The 14,207-nt window shown below is 41.4% G+C and overlaps 1 long non-coding RNA gene across 1 annotated transcript in view; it reads right to left on the bottom strand.

Annotated features, from left to right (window-relative positions):
• LOC105379315 (uncharacterized) overlaps positions 1 to 14,207 on the bottom strand; it is a 283,462-nt gene that overhangs the window by 155,851 nt on the left and 113,404 nt on the right. Inside the window, exon 2 of the long non-coding RNA XR_949569.4 lies at positions 1,891 to 2,001. This is a non-coding gene — a long non-coding RNA (uncharacterized LOC105379315). The remainder of the gene's footprint in view (positions 1 to 1,890; positions 2,002 to 14,207) is intronic.

Here is a 14,207-nt window from a genome sequence, read left to right as displayed (position 1 = left end):
AAATGAGGGATCACTAAAGGATGGGGCTGAGAGGTGGTGACTCCCAGCTGCTCCTACTTTTTCTCTCTAGGAGGAAACGCTTTCTATGGGTCCTGCGCAGGAGAAATTTAAGAAGTACACATGCCATTTATGAAATCATGGCTGCAGCCTGGAGGAGAGACACTGATGGCAGAGGCTAAGGAGATGGGAGGCCAGCACTCAGTCAACACAACCACCTCCCTCTACACCATGGGATGGGGTGGACCTAGGCCTGAGACATCCAAGTCCTGAGTCTGAGACTTGCTCCTGCCAGAACTGTCTGTGTGATCTTGGACAAGTTCCTTGATAGTTTAAAGCCTCGGTTTCCTCATGCATGAATGGGATCTGAGGACTGACTGACACTGGCCTTTAAAAGGCTCATCCAAGGACTCTAAAGCCCAGAGAGGTAAAGTGATTTGCCCAATGGTGAACAGCCAGTGGGATTATATCTCAGGCCTGCCTTTAAAAAAAGCCAGTTTCATTTTACTTTCACCAGACCACTTCTTCTGATTTGGGTGATTAGAGCTGTTAGGTCCAAACGCTCCTTCTGAAAAAAAGCATTTGTTTAGGAGTCAAACACGCCTTGGCTCAAATCCTAGCTCTGACATTTATCAGCTGTGTCACCTTGGACAATAGACTTAACCTCTCCATGCCTCTCCTTTCTCATTAGCAAAATGGGGCTATCAAACCTGATCTCAAAAAGTCATATAATAGGAGATAATGCATGAACTCAACACAGTAACTGAGATCTAAGATAATTACCAAGCAATACTCTGAGTATTTTACATCAATTATTTCATATGATCCTAACAATCTCTTATGGTAGGAACTGTCACTATCCTCATTTTTACAGACAAGAAACCTGAAGAAGCATGGAGTAGTTAGGTAGCTAGGTAGGTAGGTAGCTCACCTAAGGTCACACAGCTGGTAGTTGGAAATGGCAAAATTTCAACTCAGGCTGTCTGAGGAAACACCTCGCATTGGTATGCTCTCTTGTACTGACTATATCCAGGCAGTCATGATTATCCTAGGAAGAGGCGAACCTGGGAGTAAGCATCCTAAATAATTCTCCCTGCTGCTTTTTGCTTCTTCTCTTTTCATCTTATCTTTGGGTTGAATCCTTATCATCGTCAATGAGAAGAGTTAGAATTAGAACAAAGACAATCCCTAAGGCCAAACAGTATAATTAAGTTATCAAAGACCTTGGGTTTGGTCATAACTCAACAGGCTTCAGCTGGAACTGTCCTTTGGGAGTAATTTACACCATTGAGGAAGGAAAAAAAGCTGTGAATGAGTGATCTGGCAGTTAGAGAAATTAACCTAATATGTGGGTCTGAGCTACCCTGTGGCATCTGGGGCAGCTGAATCATTCAATGCCGGGTGTCCAAAGGTCATCAAACCAAGCATGCAATTTGGCAACGCAAGTTTAGAAGCCCAGCAGGTGATGGCATCCTTGGTCTAGGCCTGGGATGCCAATAACAGTAACTCCTGTTGTCATTCTAACTCCCTGTCTTACAGGAGACCTTGCTAGATGATCACAGCGCCATTTTCTACTGGGTCTAGATATGGCCTCAATATTGTTCCCACCTACCTGGATCTGGCCCTTGAGGAGAATCACATCGGTTACCTTTGTCCTGAATGTTTGCGAGGAGCAGAAGCAGAACCTGATTGCAAGAGTATAGCTTGACAATGAGCTCAAACAAGGCTGGAAACTCTAGGGCAGAGCTTCCACTCTCCTAGGGAACTAGAAAGAAGACCAGGATAGGTTTGAGGACAAGATGCTAGGGAGAAATAATATGAAGGAGGCAACTTAGACAAACAGGGCTGAGACTCACCTAATCCATACTGATGTGCTTAGATAGAAAGACCTACCTTCAAATACCTTCCAGAGGGCTGGGCTAACATCCCTGATGTACACTTGCACCTGTCCTGGAGAAGCCTCATCTGGCAGCTGGAGGTATCAGCCAACCTCACAATGAGTATCTAGGGTAGACAAGGTGGAGAAGGTGCACCATGAGCTGATGTTGGTACCATGGAGACGTAACCATGCCCAGAGGTCTAAGCCTATTCCCAGGTCAGCCACAGAACCAACTCTCTGGCAATAGGAGACTGGAGGGCTCAGCCTAGTTGTCGGCATGCCTCGCTGTGGGGATATCCGACAGTTACAGCAGAACTAACTGAGGTGGCTCTGAAATTTGGGGCAGCCTTTGCCATACAGAAGCGACAAGTGAAGTTCTTTCTAAGCCAGTGGAAGCCAGTCAGTGATTCAGAACATGGATTCAGTTTGATCCTGGTACCTGGTAACTTGAGTAAATTACTTACGCTCTCTAAGCCTCACTTTTGTCATTTATAGAAATAAACGATTCTAAAAAACTTGTCTTAGGGTGGTTGTGAACCTTACAGAAGATAATTACACTAAAGGCTTAACAGTACACATAGTGTTTAAGCATTTCCATCAGTGAAGACTGTACAGAGAAGAAGGTAGTGGAGATGACAGATGCGCGTGTGTATGGAGCATTTACTATATACCCACAGATCCTAGAGAGACAGGGTCACCACAGTCCGCAAGGGGGCCACATGGAAACAGCGCCAACGGAGTGTACTTAATAGAGCCTGCGGGGATTCAGGAAGGAGGGAGGACCTGCAGGCAAGTGCCTTTATTGAGGGTCACGTTGGAGAACACAGCAAAAGGTGCAAGGGAATTTCATTGGTGCATATGAATGTCACTAGGTCACAGTCAGGGGTGTGAAGGAAGGACTTGTGGCAGTGGTCAGCACCCTGGTGCAGCTGGCCACCCGGGCACGGTGCTCACAGCCAGCTAATGGAGATATTAAGGCAGCAGGAAAATATGAAGTTCTGAAATTTACAAAACAACATTATTCAAATATCTTACATGTGTTACACATTTAATCCTTACAATAACAATGAGAGGTTGATTGCACTGATGACCATTGTTGATGGACTCCCTCCATCATTATATTTTGTAACATGGTTTTCTGTCCTAAAAAAGATGGAGTCTGTTTCTCTACCCTTTGAACCTGACCTAAACTTATAACTTGTTTTCACCAGAATAAAGAGGTAGAGCTGATGGGTGAATTCCAAATCATTCATGTATTCTGTCTTTTGGAATCCTGCCACTGCTGTGTAAACAAGCTGAGACCATATGGAACAAGCCTTGAGCCCAGTTGTTCTAGCTGACACCACTAGACAAGCCTATAGCCAGTTAACCTGCAAGCATGTGAGAGGGGCTCAGACAAGATCAGCAGAGCCACCTCCCTGACCACAGATGCGTAAATGAGACCAGAAGATTGACCCAGCTGACCTGGAAAGTTATAAGAAATAATAAAGATGTATGTTTCAAGCTATGAAGCATTGAGACCGTTTGTTATACAGCAATCACAAGTGATACAATAAGTTTATGAAGTTGAGCAAAAGAAGGTTAAGCAACTTACACAAATCACCCAGTTAGTAACTGTTGCAACTAGGGCACAAACTCAGGCTACTTAGCTCCAGAACCTGCCCTCTGAATCAGTGTGCTACAGCAATCCCTTAGAGATGACAGTTTCCTCCCCTGCTGTAGAAATACATGAACGATCCCCTCATTTCTAAAACATTGTTTAAGCAAAGATGCAACCACTTCTCAGAAGATTTCCCATTCTGAGGCAGTCAGATGGGAGTTTGGGGTAACTTATCAGTCCTTGCTGTGATCACGCAGTCCAGTCAACAGATGGTCAAGGTCTCAGCCCGGCTGGATATTAAGCACTTTATATTTACTAGTGAATATTTACTACTTTATATTTGCTGCTTTAATTTACCACTTTATATTTTCTATATTTAGAAATAGAGTTGTACTGTCTTACACTGGATGGTTGAAGCATTGCATTAATCGAGATAATCTAGGCCTGCCCATGGCAATAAACACTTAAATCTCAGCGTCTTGATCCAACAAAGGTTTATTTCCGCTTGATATCACATGTTGATGCAAACCAGGTGGCCATGCCTGATAATCTCTGAGAAAGAGCAAGAAGACTTCTGTAGGAGACAGGGCTCGGAGTGCCTTACATCCATTTTTCCACATCCCATTGGCCAGAAAGTAGACCCAATCTAACTTCAAGGCAGGCTGGAAAATGTAGTCTTCTCGTGTGCCCAGGAAGGGAAAATGGCATACCACCTATGGCATTGTCTCTGCCAAAGAGATCCTAGGCATCAGCTTTGCAGATGCTCAGGACCTCTGGAGCTCCTCTGTCTGCCTGGGTCTCTGCTGCCCAGTGGAAATGCTGCTGTCCCAGCAGGCAGCTGGGCCTACACTTCTGGCTTAGCTCCTGCCAGTTGTCCCTGAAGCAGACCCACTTAGAGTCTGACTTTGCTGAGCTTCCAGGTCACAGGTCAGACTTATATTAGCACTCCAGTTGCCTTAATTTCTAAACTGTCTCCCACACTCATCCCATTTCTTTGTTATGGGTGTTCTTTCAATATTGAGGCTTCCCAGGAAATTGACTTGATGAGGTCATAGGTCCCCCCTTCCCCATCTTTAAATGCCTAAACAGACACACAAAATATTTCACTGTATTTCTGAGGGCTCACGGCTCAGCAGAGAGCCACTGGGTAATGATGGTCTGCATGAGAGAACATCACCTAGCCCACCTGCCTCATCTTGTGGGTGAAGCCCATACTACTTAAGAAATTTGCTCAAAAGCAGAATGCTTTTGCTCTTGGCAGGAGTAATGAGGACATCCATGCTAGGATTGAAAGACAGGGTTTGCGGGCGGAGGAGTCCAAAACATTGGGCCTTTGCCCGACTCCCACTACCCCCTGTATCATCAAGCACACCATGTGTAGAACAGGCCTATAGAAAGTGGTTCTGTATGACCCTGGTGAGTGTTTAGTAATTCAAATATGCATGGGGATTACTGACCCTCTTTCCTTCTCTTTTTTTGAGGCCTGCTAATGATATTTCATTCTTGAAGTTGTCCTGAGAGTGTGAGCTGATTGCTGCTCCCTAGAGGGAAGTGGGAAGAGGGGACGTGCAGCTGCCCCTGGAGGATGGGGAGTGGGTGGGACTACAGAGGACCCCTTAACCAAGAAGATGAGGTATTCAGTGGGGAACAATGGAGAATAACTAGGATGAGGAGGAGGTGACAGGCCTGTTTCCAAGGAGATGCCTCACTGCTATCTTCCCTACACACCCATTGTCCATCATCCAGCCTCTCTCTAGAGACACCAGGCCTTCCACCCCAAGGTCACTGAATGCTATTCAAAGCCAGGACCCCTTCTCCCTCTCTGGTCTCACTGATGGACATCTGGCCCCAATCAAGGTCAACAGTGAACCTCCCTCAACCAAGGTGGGGAAAGGAGGGCTTCACACACAGCTCAGGATCATTTTTTTCTTGGGGAGAATTAAGCTAAAATGAATAGTAAACACAAAGGGACAGGAAGTGAAGAAGAAAGGGGAGTGGGAGGACAGGAGGAGACCAAGGACAGATGATGTTTTGCTTTAGTGGTAATGGTGATATCCTCAAGGGGAAAGGCAATTGGATTAAGCCTCCTGAGCTTGTGAATGGGCCTTTTAAAAGCCAATCTCATTCAGTCCTCAGATCTGTTACACTCGTGAGGAAACCGAGGCTTTAAACTATCAAGGAACTTGTCCAAGATCACATAGACACTTCTGGTAGGAGCAAGTCTCAGACTCAGGACTTGCAAGTCTCAGTCCCAGGTCCATTCCATCCCATGGTGTAGAGGGAGGTGGTTGCGTTGACTGGGTGCTGGGTGTGAGTATGAGTTTGTGTTTAAGGAATCAGCTTGCAGCAGTACAGAACCTTCCCCCAACCACATCAGGAAGCCCAGTCATCTTCCCCCTAGTCTGACTCTGCTTCTTTCCAAACAAAAATGTGTCATCACTGGACTTTTTTTTTTTTGTCCTGTGATGACAATGTTTTGTGTCGCTGTGCACATGGTTGTGTGTGTAGCATCTGGGATGATGGTGGCAGTTGGCTCAAGGCCCAGTGTCAAGGATAGATGAGAGGTAGGGGAAAAGATAAAGAGAAAAATTACTGATGCTTCTCCTTCTATCCTGACTCAAAAAGACTGCAGAAATGTCAGGATCGAAATGTCCTGAGAAACAAGGTGGAATCTGTAAGGACTTAATTACAGTTGCTCTCATCACTGCAGCCTGAAAGACCTAACAGTTTCCTCCGGAGCCTGGACTGTTCACTGATGATGGAGAAAGACCAGAGAGAGAGATCGGCAATGGCATCCCTGTGTGCTCTTGCCAGAGCCAAGAGCCTGTGCCAGCCTACTCTATTATTTATCATCTAGAGAGCTTTTCAGGAACGTCAAGGGCTTCATTATCTTCTGATTAGCCTCAAGCTCTGGCAACTCCAGGAGTGAGGTCAGTTCCATTTCAGGGATGAGATAAACAAAGGCACAGACTGAATGACTTGGAAAACATTGGCTCGAAGGTTGCACTATTTTAAAACATTTTTTGAGTACCAGCTATACACCACGGTCCAAACAACAGTCCCAAATGTCCTTTATGACATGCGTTGGTCTTGGAGTGTACTGGGCAGTGTGGTGTGTTGACTAACAACCCCTAGATCTCAGTAGCTTCAAATGGCAAAGGTTTATTTATTTGTTTACTTACTTTGTTGCTTTATTTGCCCACTGCAGGTTGTCTGAGAGTTGTGCACCCCAATAGTCTCATTTTAGGACCCAGATATTGCACTATTTGAAATGTTGCTGGCCACTGTGGTGGAGAGAGAGCTTGGGAAATTGCATGTTGGCTGTTAACCTTTCAACCTAGAATTTTCACAGGTCACTTAGCTCACATGCCATTGGCCGTACCTAACTCCAAAAAGCCAGGCAGGTGCAGTCCTATAACACACCCAGAGGAAGAATCAGATGTGTCTGTGACTAGTACTGATAACTATCAAAAGAGGGCATATTTCTGGGCTACAGAATCATAGAATATTAGAGATGAAAGAAGCTAAGAGATCATTCAATTAATCTGCCTTCATTTATTGAAGACCAAGGTTCAGAAAGGATATAATTTACTCAAAATTGCAGTAATCTATGTTATAGCTCCCTTGCTCAAAATGCTTCAATGTTCTCCATCACTCTTGGGACAAGGAACATATAACCCACGATCACCCAACAGGGTTGGCCCCTGCCTGCCCCTCCAGCCTCACCCCTTCCTATTCACCTTCTTGCTCTCTAACCTGGGCACAACGGCCTTCTTTTGATTCCTCATATGTACATCATCCTCCTACCTCAGGAACTTGGTTCTTCCCATTCCTTCTTCATAGTTCTCATCCCCTGTCCCTTCCCCTGGCAGATTCTTATCTCTCCCTTCTCATCTCACACCAAATGTCACCACCTCAGGGAAGCCTTTTCAAATTCCCAGACCGAATCAGGCTCTCTCACAGGCATTTGTACTTCTCCTCTATGGATCTTATCGGGGTTTATATTTGTATATTTGGATGTGATAGGAAAGTCTTCCTTCTCCTCTAGCTAGTATGTAATCTGCATGGATGCAGGGATGGGGTCATGTCTGTAGGTTCACCTTTGTGTAACAAGAAGGCCTATGGACAGAGATTACTGGCATTTACTCTGATCCTGTTTCCTAAACATGCACAAGGTGTTTAAGTACTGTTGGTTAAGTACCATGCCACACTTCTATCTAACTGAGGATGCACACAGCAGGGACAATAGAAATCAGATGGTTGTGAACACCACTAACCCATGAGCTGATATTAGGTTGATGCAATTACTTTTGCACCGACCTAATAGAAGCCGGGGTGGGGTGGGGCGCAAATTTCTGATTCATCTCAGCATCCCCAGCACTTAACAGTGTCTGTCACTGGTAGGGGCTCATTAAACGTATGTTTACAGTTGAGGAAGAAAAACTTTATCTGAGGTGAGTGAGCCCGCTCTAAATTACTAGGCCCAGAGAGGCATTAAGATGAAACAGCAGTCCTCTTTCTAGACTAAATGTCGCCACCAAGAGCTATAAATTAACCTAACAATGCCACGTGCTGGACACCATAACTCACATCCTAGAGTTCAACAATGTATCGCCAATCACTAATCAATGTTATTACTGTAAAGCTATGAGGATTCCTGGTAAACAACTTTTGCAATCAGATCCTCTTTGATTCTTCTTCTTTTTTCTTTAAAAACTAGAGCCTCGGCCGGGCACAGTGGCTCACACCTGTAATCCCAGCACTTTGGGAGGCCTAGGTGGGCGGATCACAAGGTCAGGAGATCGTAGCCATCCTGGCTAACATGGTGAAAGCCCGTCTCTACTAAAAATACAAAAAGAAATTAGCCGGGCGTGGTGGTGGGCACCTGTAGTCCCAGCTACTCGGGAGGCTGAGGCAGGAGAATGGTGTGAACCTGGGAGGCGGAACTTGCAGTGAGCCGAGATCGCGCGTCTGTACTCCAGCCTGGGCGACAGAGCAAAACTCCGTCTCAAAAAAACAAAACAAAACAAAACAAAACTCCAGCCACCCCTTTGTTCTCTAGAGTGGTTTCCAATGTAGTCTGGAAGTGTTCCCAGGCTGCAGTCTTCAATCTTGGCCTAAACTCTCTACCCATATCAATTTCACCTCTGTTTCTTTCTTTAGGTCAACACTATTGTCATTGAAATCTGGAAAAATAAAAGCCAGGGGGCAGGTTTTCAGCAAAAGTGTATTGACAAGTGTGAAGTATTCTCCTTGCACACACTGCAGGCCATGGTCACAGAGGAGGCAGGTGCATAGGTGGTGCTTGGCCAGTGGAACTGAGCTATTGGCACATAATATCTACCCAGCCAGCCTGGAATGTTCCTCACTGTATTCCTTTGGGCGACAGTGTGATGGACTGCAAGTGAATTAGCTACTATATTGCAGGTGGTTAGTTGATTTGAATAACCATTAACGCTTTAGATTGCCATTAACTTTTTATCACCCATTATCACCTTGGTGTCAATTACTAATCAAAGACCAGGACCCTGAGGTAAAGGAACAGGAAGGACAGCTATGGAGCTGGCAGGATGAAAGCAGAGGGTAGGTAGGAGCGGTGGGTAGGAGCTGGGCCTCCCTGATCTGAGTGGCCAGTTTCTAAATACCTGGGGCTGGGAAAGAAGAAGTGGAGGTGGAGACACACAGCACCAAGCAGGGCCATCCCCTCGCCATCTGCACAGGCTCAGTCTAAGGTGGGAATTAGAGCCTATTTTGCAATGTTGGCTCACACAGAGCATGATCAACCAGATTTCAAATCATAGCCCTTTGCTAAGAACAATGAATTTATTTCCATGAATCTCCTTCCTTAAATCTTTACTGCAGGATGAAATAGAAAGCATTTTAACTTGAGCATCTCATCTTCCCTTCCAGCTTCCTCTCTCCACTCCCCTTAATGCCTCAACCTCACAGCCCACAGAAAATGATCTAGTGCTTCCAAGTGCCCCATAATTAGTCCTGCCTTCCTGATGTGTCTCCCTTATCATCTCTTGTACACAGAATGGGATGGCAAATTTTAAGTGTCAACATGATTGGGCTATAGGTTGCCCAGATATTTGGTTAAATATGATTTCTGAGTGTGCCTGTGAGGGTTTCTGGATGAGATTCATACTTGAATTGTTAGACTGAGCAAAGCAGAGTTCCTTCTCCAATATGGGTGGACTTCAGCCAATCTTTTGAAAACCTGAACAGAATCAAAGGCTGAGTGAGAAGGAATTCTTTCTCTCTGCCTGTCTTTGAGCTGGGACATCAGTCTTCTCCTGCCTTTGGACTAGGACCAGGACTGGAACTTACACCGCAAACTTTCCTGGTTCTCATGCCTTTAAACTCAGACTCAAATTTATACCATCAGCAATCCTGTGTGTTCAGTTTGCTGGCTGCAGATCTTAGACTTTTCAGCCTTTATAAGTGTCTCTCTCTCTCTGCCTCTGTCTCTCTCTTTCACACACACACACACACACACACACACACACACAGTTTATATCTATGGCTTCCAATTGATTGGAGAACCAGCAGACCACTGGTGATGGCAGGGCTGACCCTGCCTTCCTCCTAACCCTGATAGCAGTGGCTGATTATTTTCAATCTGCAGACTTAGCCTGGTCTACATAGAGAATAAACTAATCCAATGATAAACCAAACCAGCATCTAGTTAGACTTATGACGGTTGAACACTTTCATCTCCCAGTGACTTGGAGATTTTCTTCTACCACATCAAAGCTTGGCTTTCTTCCAGGCTCGTATTCCAGTTCCATTATGACTCAGGGGCCTAACTTGGGCCCTTTATTCAGTATCCCCAAGTTTGGGTGCTGATCCTTGCTTTTAGACATTCCTAGTCCCTATGTCCCCACTCTTAAACCTGGGCTAATTCATCTCTGCTTGGAGAGATCACCGAAATGGGATTTTTCTATGTGGATCTTCTGTAAACAATGTTCACAGCCTTCTTGAGTTAACCCTTGGATTGACATTAGATTCTAGTCCCTGGTTGCAACCCTAGAATAACCAATTTCTGGACAATCCACTATTTCTACTCCAGCTCCACACAATCCTGTAGCTTTTCCTGGCTTCCTATCCCAGTGTAGCCAAAGATCTGGCTTTATCAATGTATTGTCATATTGGAATTAGATTTAGGGAAATTTCATTTTCTTATATTCCCAGAAAGCTTAAAGGAACATATAGATTTGGCTGAGGAGAATTTGTTTTCTCATGGGAGAAAGCTCAGGGGTGAGAATGGACTCTTGCTTTTTTGTGTCATTTTGTTAGCATGTTTGTTACAGAGCTATAATTACATGCAGGAAAATGCACAGATCTCAAGTGTACAGTTCAAGGAATTTTGGTCTATCTATGTAACTAATACCTCAATACCCCATGTAACGAAGACCTCAATCAGGATATAGAGTATTGACATCATTCAAAATTTCCCATCCTTTCCTTTCTACTCCCTACCACTCCTCTGTACACCCAAAAGGCTATCATTATTCTAATTTCTATTTTCATGGACTAGTTTTGCTTTAGGTTGAGCTTCATGTAAACGTTATCACACATAAGTACAATTTTTGCATCTGGCTTTAAAATTTATGATGTTTTTGAGACTTACATATGTTGTGTTGCGTATTATTAGTCCATTCTTAGTTGCTGAGATACATCTTATTATATCACTATGTTACAATTTAATTATCCACTCACCTGTTGTGGACATTTGGGTGATTTCCAATATTTTACTATTATGAATAACACTGCAATAAATGCTCTCACACAAGTCCTTTTGCAGATATATGGTGTTACTTGTTTTGGTAAACATCTAGGAGAATTCCTGAATCACAATAAATTCCCAAATGGTTTTCCACGGTGATTGTACTATTTTATACCTCTACCAACTACGTATGAAACTTCCAGCTGTAAAACATCTTCTTCAACTATTAATTTTATCAAAAACAAAAACAAAAACAAAAAAACCAAAAAACAAAACCAAGCTTCTGGACTTGTTAATCTTTTGAATGTCTTTTCATGTCTCAATCTCCTTCAGCTCAGCTCTGATTTTGGTTATTTTGTGTTCTGCTAGCATTGGGATTTGTTTGCTCTTAGTTCTCTAGTTCTTTTAGTTGTGATGTTAGATTATTAATTTGAGATCTAACTTTTTGATGTGGGCATTTAGTTCTATAAATTTCCCCCTTAATACTGCCTTAGCTGTGTCCCAAAGATTCTGGTATGTTGTATCTTTGTTCTCATTAGTTTCAAATAACTTCTTGATTTCTACCTTAATTTCATTATTTACCTAAAAGTTATTCAGGAGCAAGTTATTCAATTTCAATGTAATTCTGTGGTTTTGAGTACATTTCTTAGTCTTGATTTCCAATTTGATTGCTCTGTGGTCCGACAGGTTATTATTATTCCAGTTCTTCTGTATTTGCCAAGGGGCATTTTACTTCCCATGATGTCATCAATTTTACAGTATGTGCCCTGTGGCAATGAAAAGAATGCATATTCTGTTGTTTGGGGGTGGAAAGTTCTGTGGGTGTCTATCAAGTCCATTTGATCTAGTACTGAGTTCAGGTCCTGAACATCTTTGTTAATTTTCTGTCTCAATGATCTATCTAATGTGGTCAGTGGGGTATTAAAGTCTCTCATGTTAGCAAGTGTGTAGTAGAATCTCATTTTGACTTTTAATTTTCATTTCACTGGTGATTAAAAATGTTGAGCATCTTTTTATGTGCTTATTAATAGTATATACTTTTGTATGTACTAATAGTATAAATAAGATTTTTCTATATTCTATTTGTGTATACAAGTTTTTTTGTATCTTTTCTCTGTTTTAATTATCTTTTTATTATTGATTTGTAGGATTGTTTTATATATTCTAAATAAAAGGTCTATATTACTATTTTTTTTCCTCCTAGTCTATGGCTTCCTTTTTTTGTTTTTGTTTTGTTTTTCCTTTCATTTTTTAATTGTCATTTTTGTTGAGAAAAAGTTAATTTTGACAAAATTTAGTTAATTGTTTTATTTTTCTTTTAAGAGCTTTTATTATTCTGAGGAATCTTTGGCTACCCCTAGGTTACAAAATTATTATCCTGTGTTTTTGTCTGGAGATAGTTTTTGTCTTTACATAATCTGTCTATAATCCATCTCCAGTTAATTTTTTTGTATAATGTGAGGTCTAGGTCAAACTCATTTTTTTCTTATATAGGTATCAAGTTGACCTAGAACTGTTCAATAAAAAGACATTTTTCCCCATCGAATTGAATCATCACTTTTGTTAAAAATAATTTGACCTCTTATGCATGAATCTATTTCAGTTTTACTGATCAATTTGCCTACACAAATGTGATTATCTCATTGTCATGGTTATTACAGCTTATTAGTCATTGTTAAAATCAGGTAGTATTTATCTTCCAGCTGTTTCATTTTTATGAATATCTTGAACGTTATTTTGAAATTCTATATAAACTTTAGTATCAGAATATTTTATAAAAATATTTTCTAGGATTTCGCTTGGCACTGTTTGGAGTCTACAGATCAATTTGCAGAGGACTGACATTTTCATAATGTTGTGTCATTCAGCTCATGAGCATGGTATATCTTTCTATTATTTAAGTAGTATGTAATTTATGTCAGCAACATTTTGTTGCTTTATAGAGGTCTTTTACATCTTTTCTTAAATTCGTTTTCAACAATTTTGTGGTTTTGATGCTATTATAGTGTTAATTTTTCATTTTTTCTATTGCAGGTTGCTAGTATATACAACATAATTGGTTTTTGTATATTGATCGTGTATTCTTAGATGTTGCTGAATTTACTTATTAGATCCAGTAGTTTTTATATTCGTTTTGTTTTCTTGGAAGATTCTTTTGGATTTTCTGTATATACAATTATGTCATCTGCAAAAGGCATATTTTACTTCTTAACAATGGTTGTATCTTTTTACTTTTTCTTGCCTAATTTCATTGGATAGGATCTCTAGTAATATGTTGAATAGAACTGGTAAGAGTAAACATCATGCCTCATTTCTAATCTTAAACACTTTTAATATTTTTCTATTAAAATGATGATAGTTGCAGGTTTTTCATAAATGTCCTTTATAAAATTGAGGAAATTCCCTTTTATTTTTTATTTATTATAAATGAGTGTTGAACATTTTGTGTACACTTATGCATGTATTGAAATGATCTTATGTGCTTCCTTCTTTTTTTGTTGTTGGTATGATCAATTACATTCATTGGTTTTCAACTATTAAATTAACCTGACATTCTCAGAATAACTTTCTGTTTGTTGGATATATTAGACTTCTTATATAATGCTACAAGTTGATTTGCTAACAATTAAGAATTTTTATTTCATCTATATGTTCACAAGGGATATTAGTGTTTAATTTTATTTTCTTGTAAGGCCCTTATGAGGTTTTGTTATTACAGTGGCCTCATAAAATGAATTGGAAAATTACTCCTCCTCTAGCTTTTGTGAAAAAGTTTGTGTAATACAGGTATTTCTTTGTAAAACATTTATTTGAATTTACAGAATAGCCAGTTGGGCCAGAAATTTTCATTGTGGGATTTTAAATTATTACTTCAATTTCTCTGTAGATCTAGGCTTATCCTGGTTGCTCTCTTTTTGTCAGTTTTGGTAAGTTTTGTTTTAAAGCAAGACTTTTCATATTTGTTAACTTTTTTTTAGCACACAGTTGTATATAATGTCCCC

This window comes from Homo sapiens, chromosome 8 (genome assembly GCF_000001405.40).
Source record: "Homo sapiens chromosome 8, GRCh38.p14 Primary Assembly".
Taxonomy (NCBI): Eukaryota; Metazoa; Chordata; class Mammalia; order Primates; family Hominidae; genus Homo; species Homo sapiens.
Note: the sequence above shows the minus strand (reverse complement) of the source record. Positions and strands in the feature narration are given on the sequence as shown.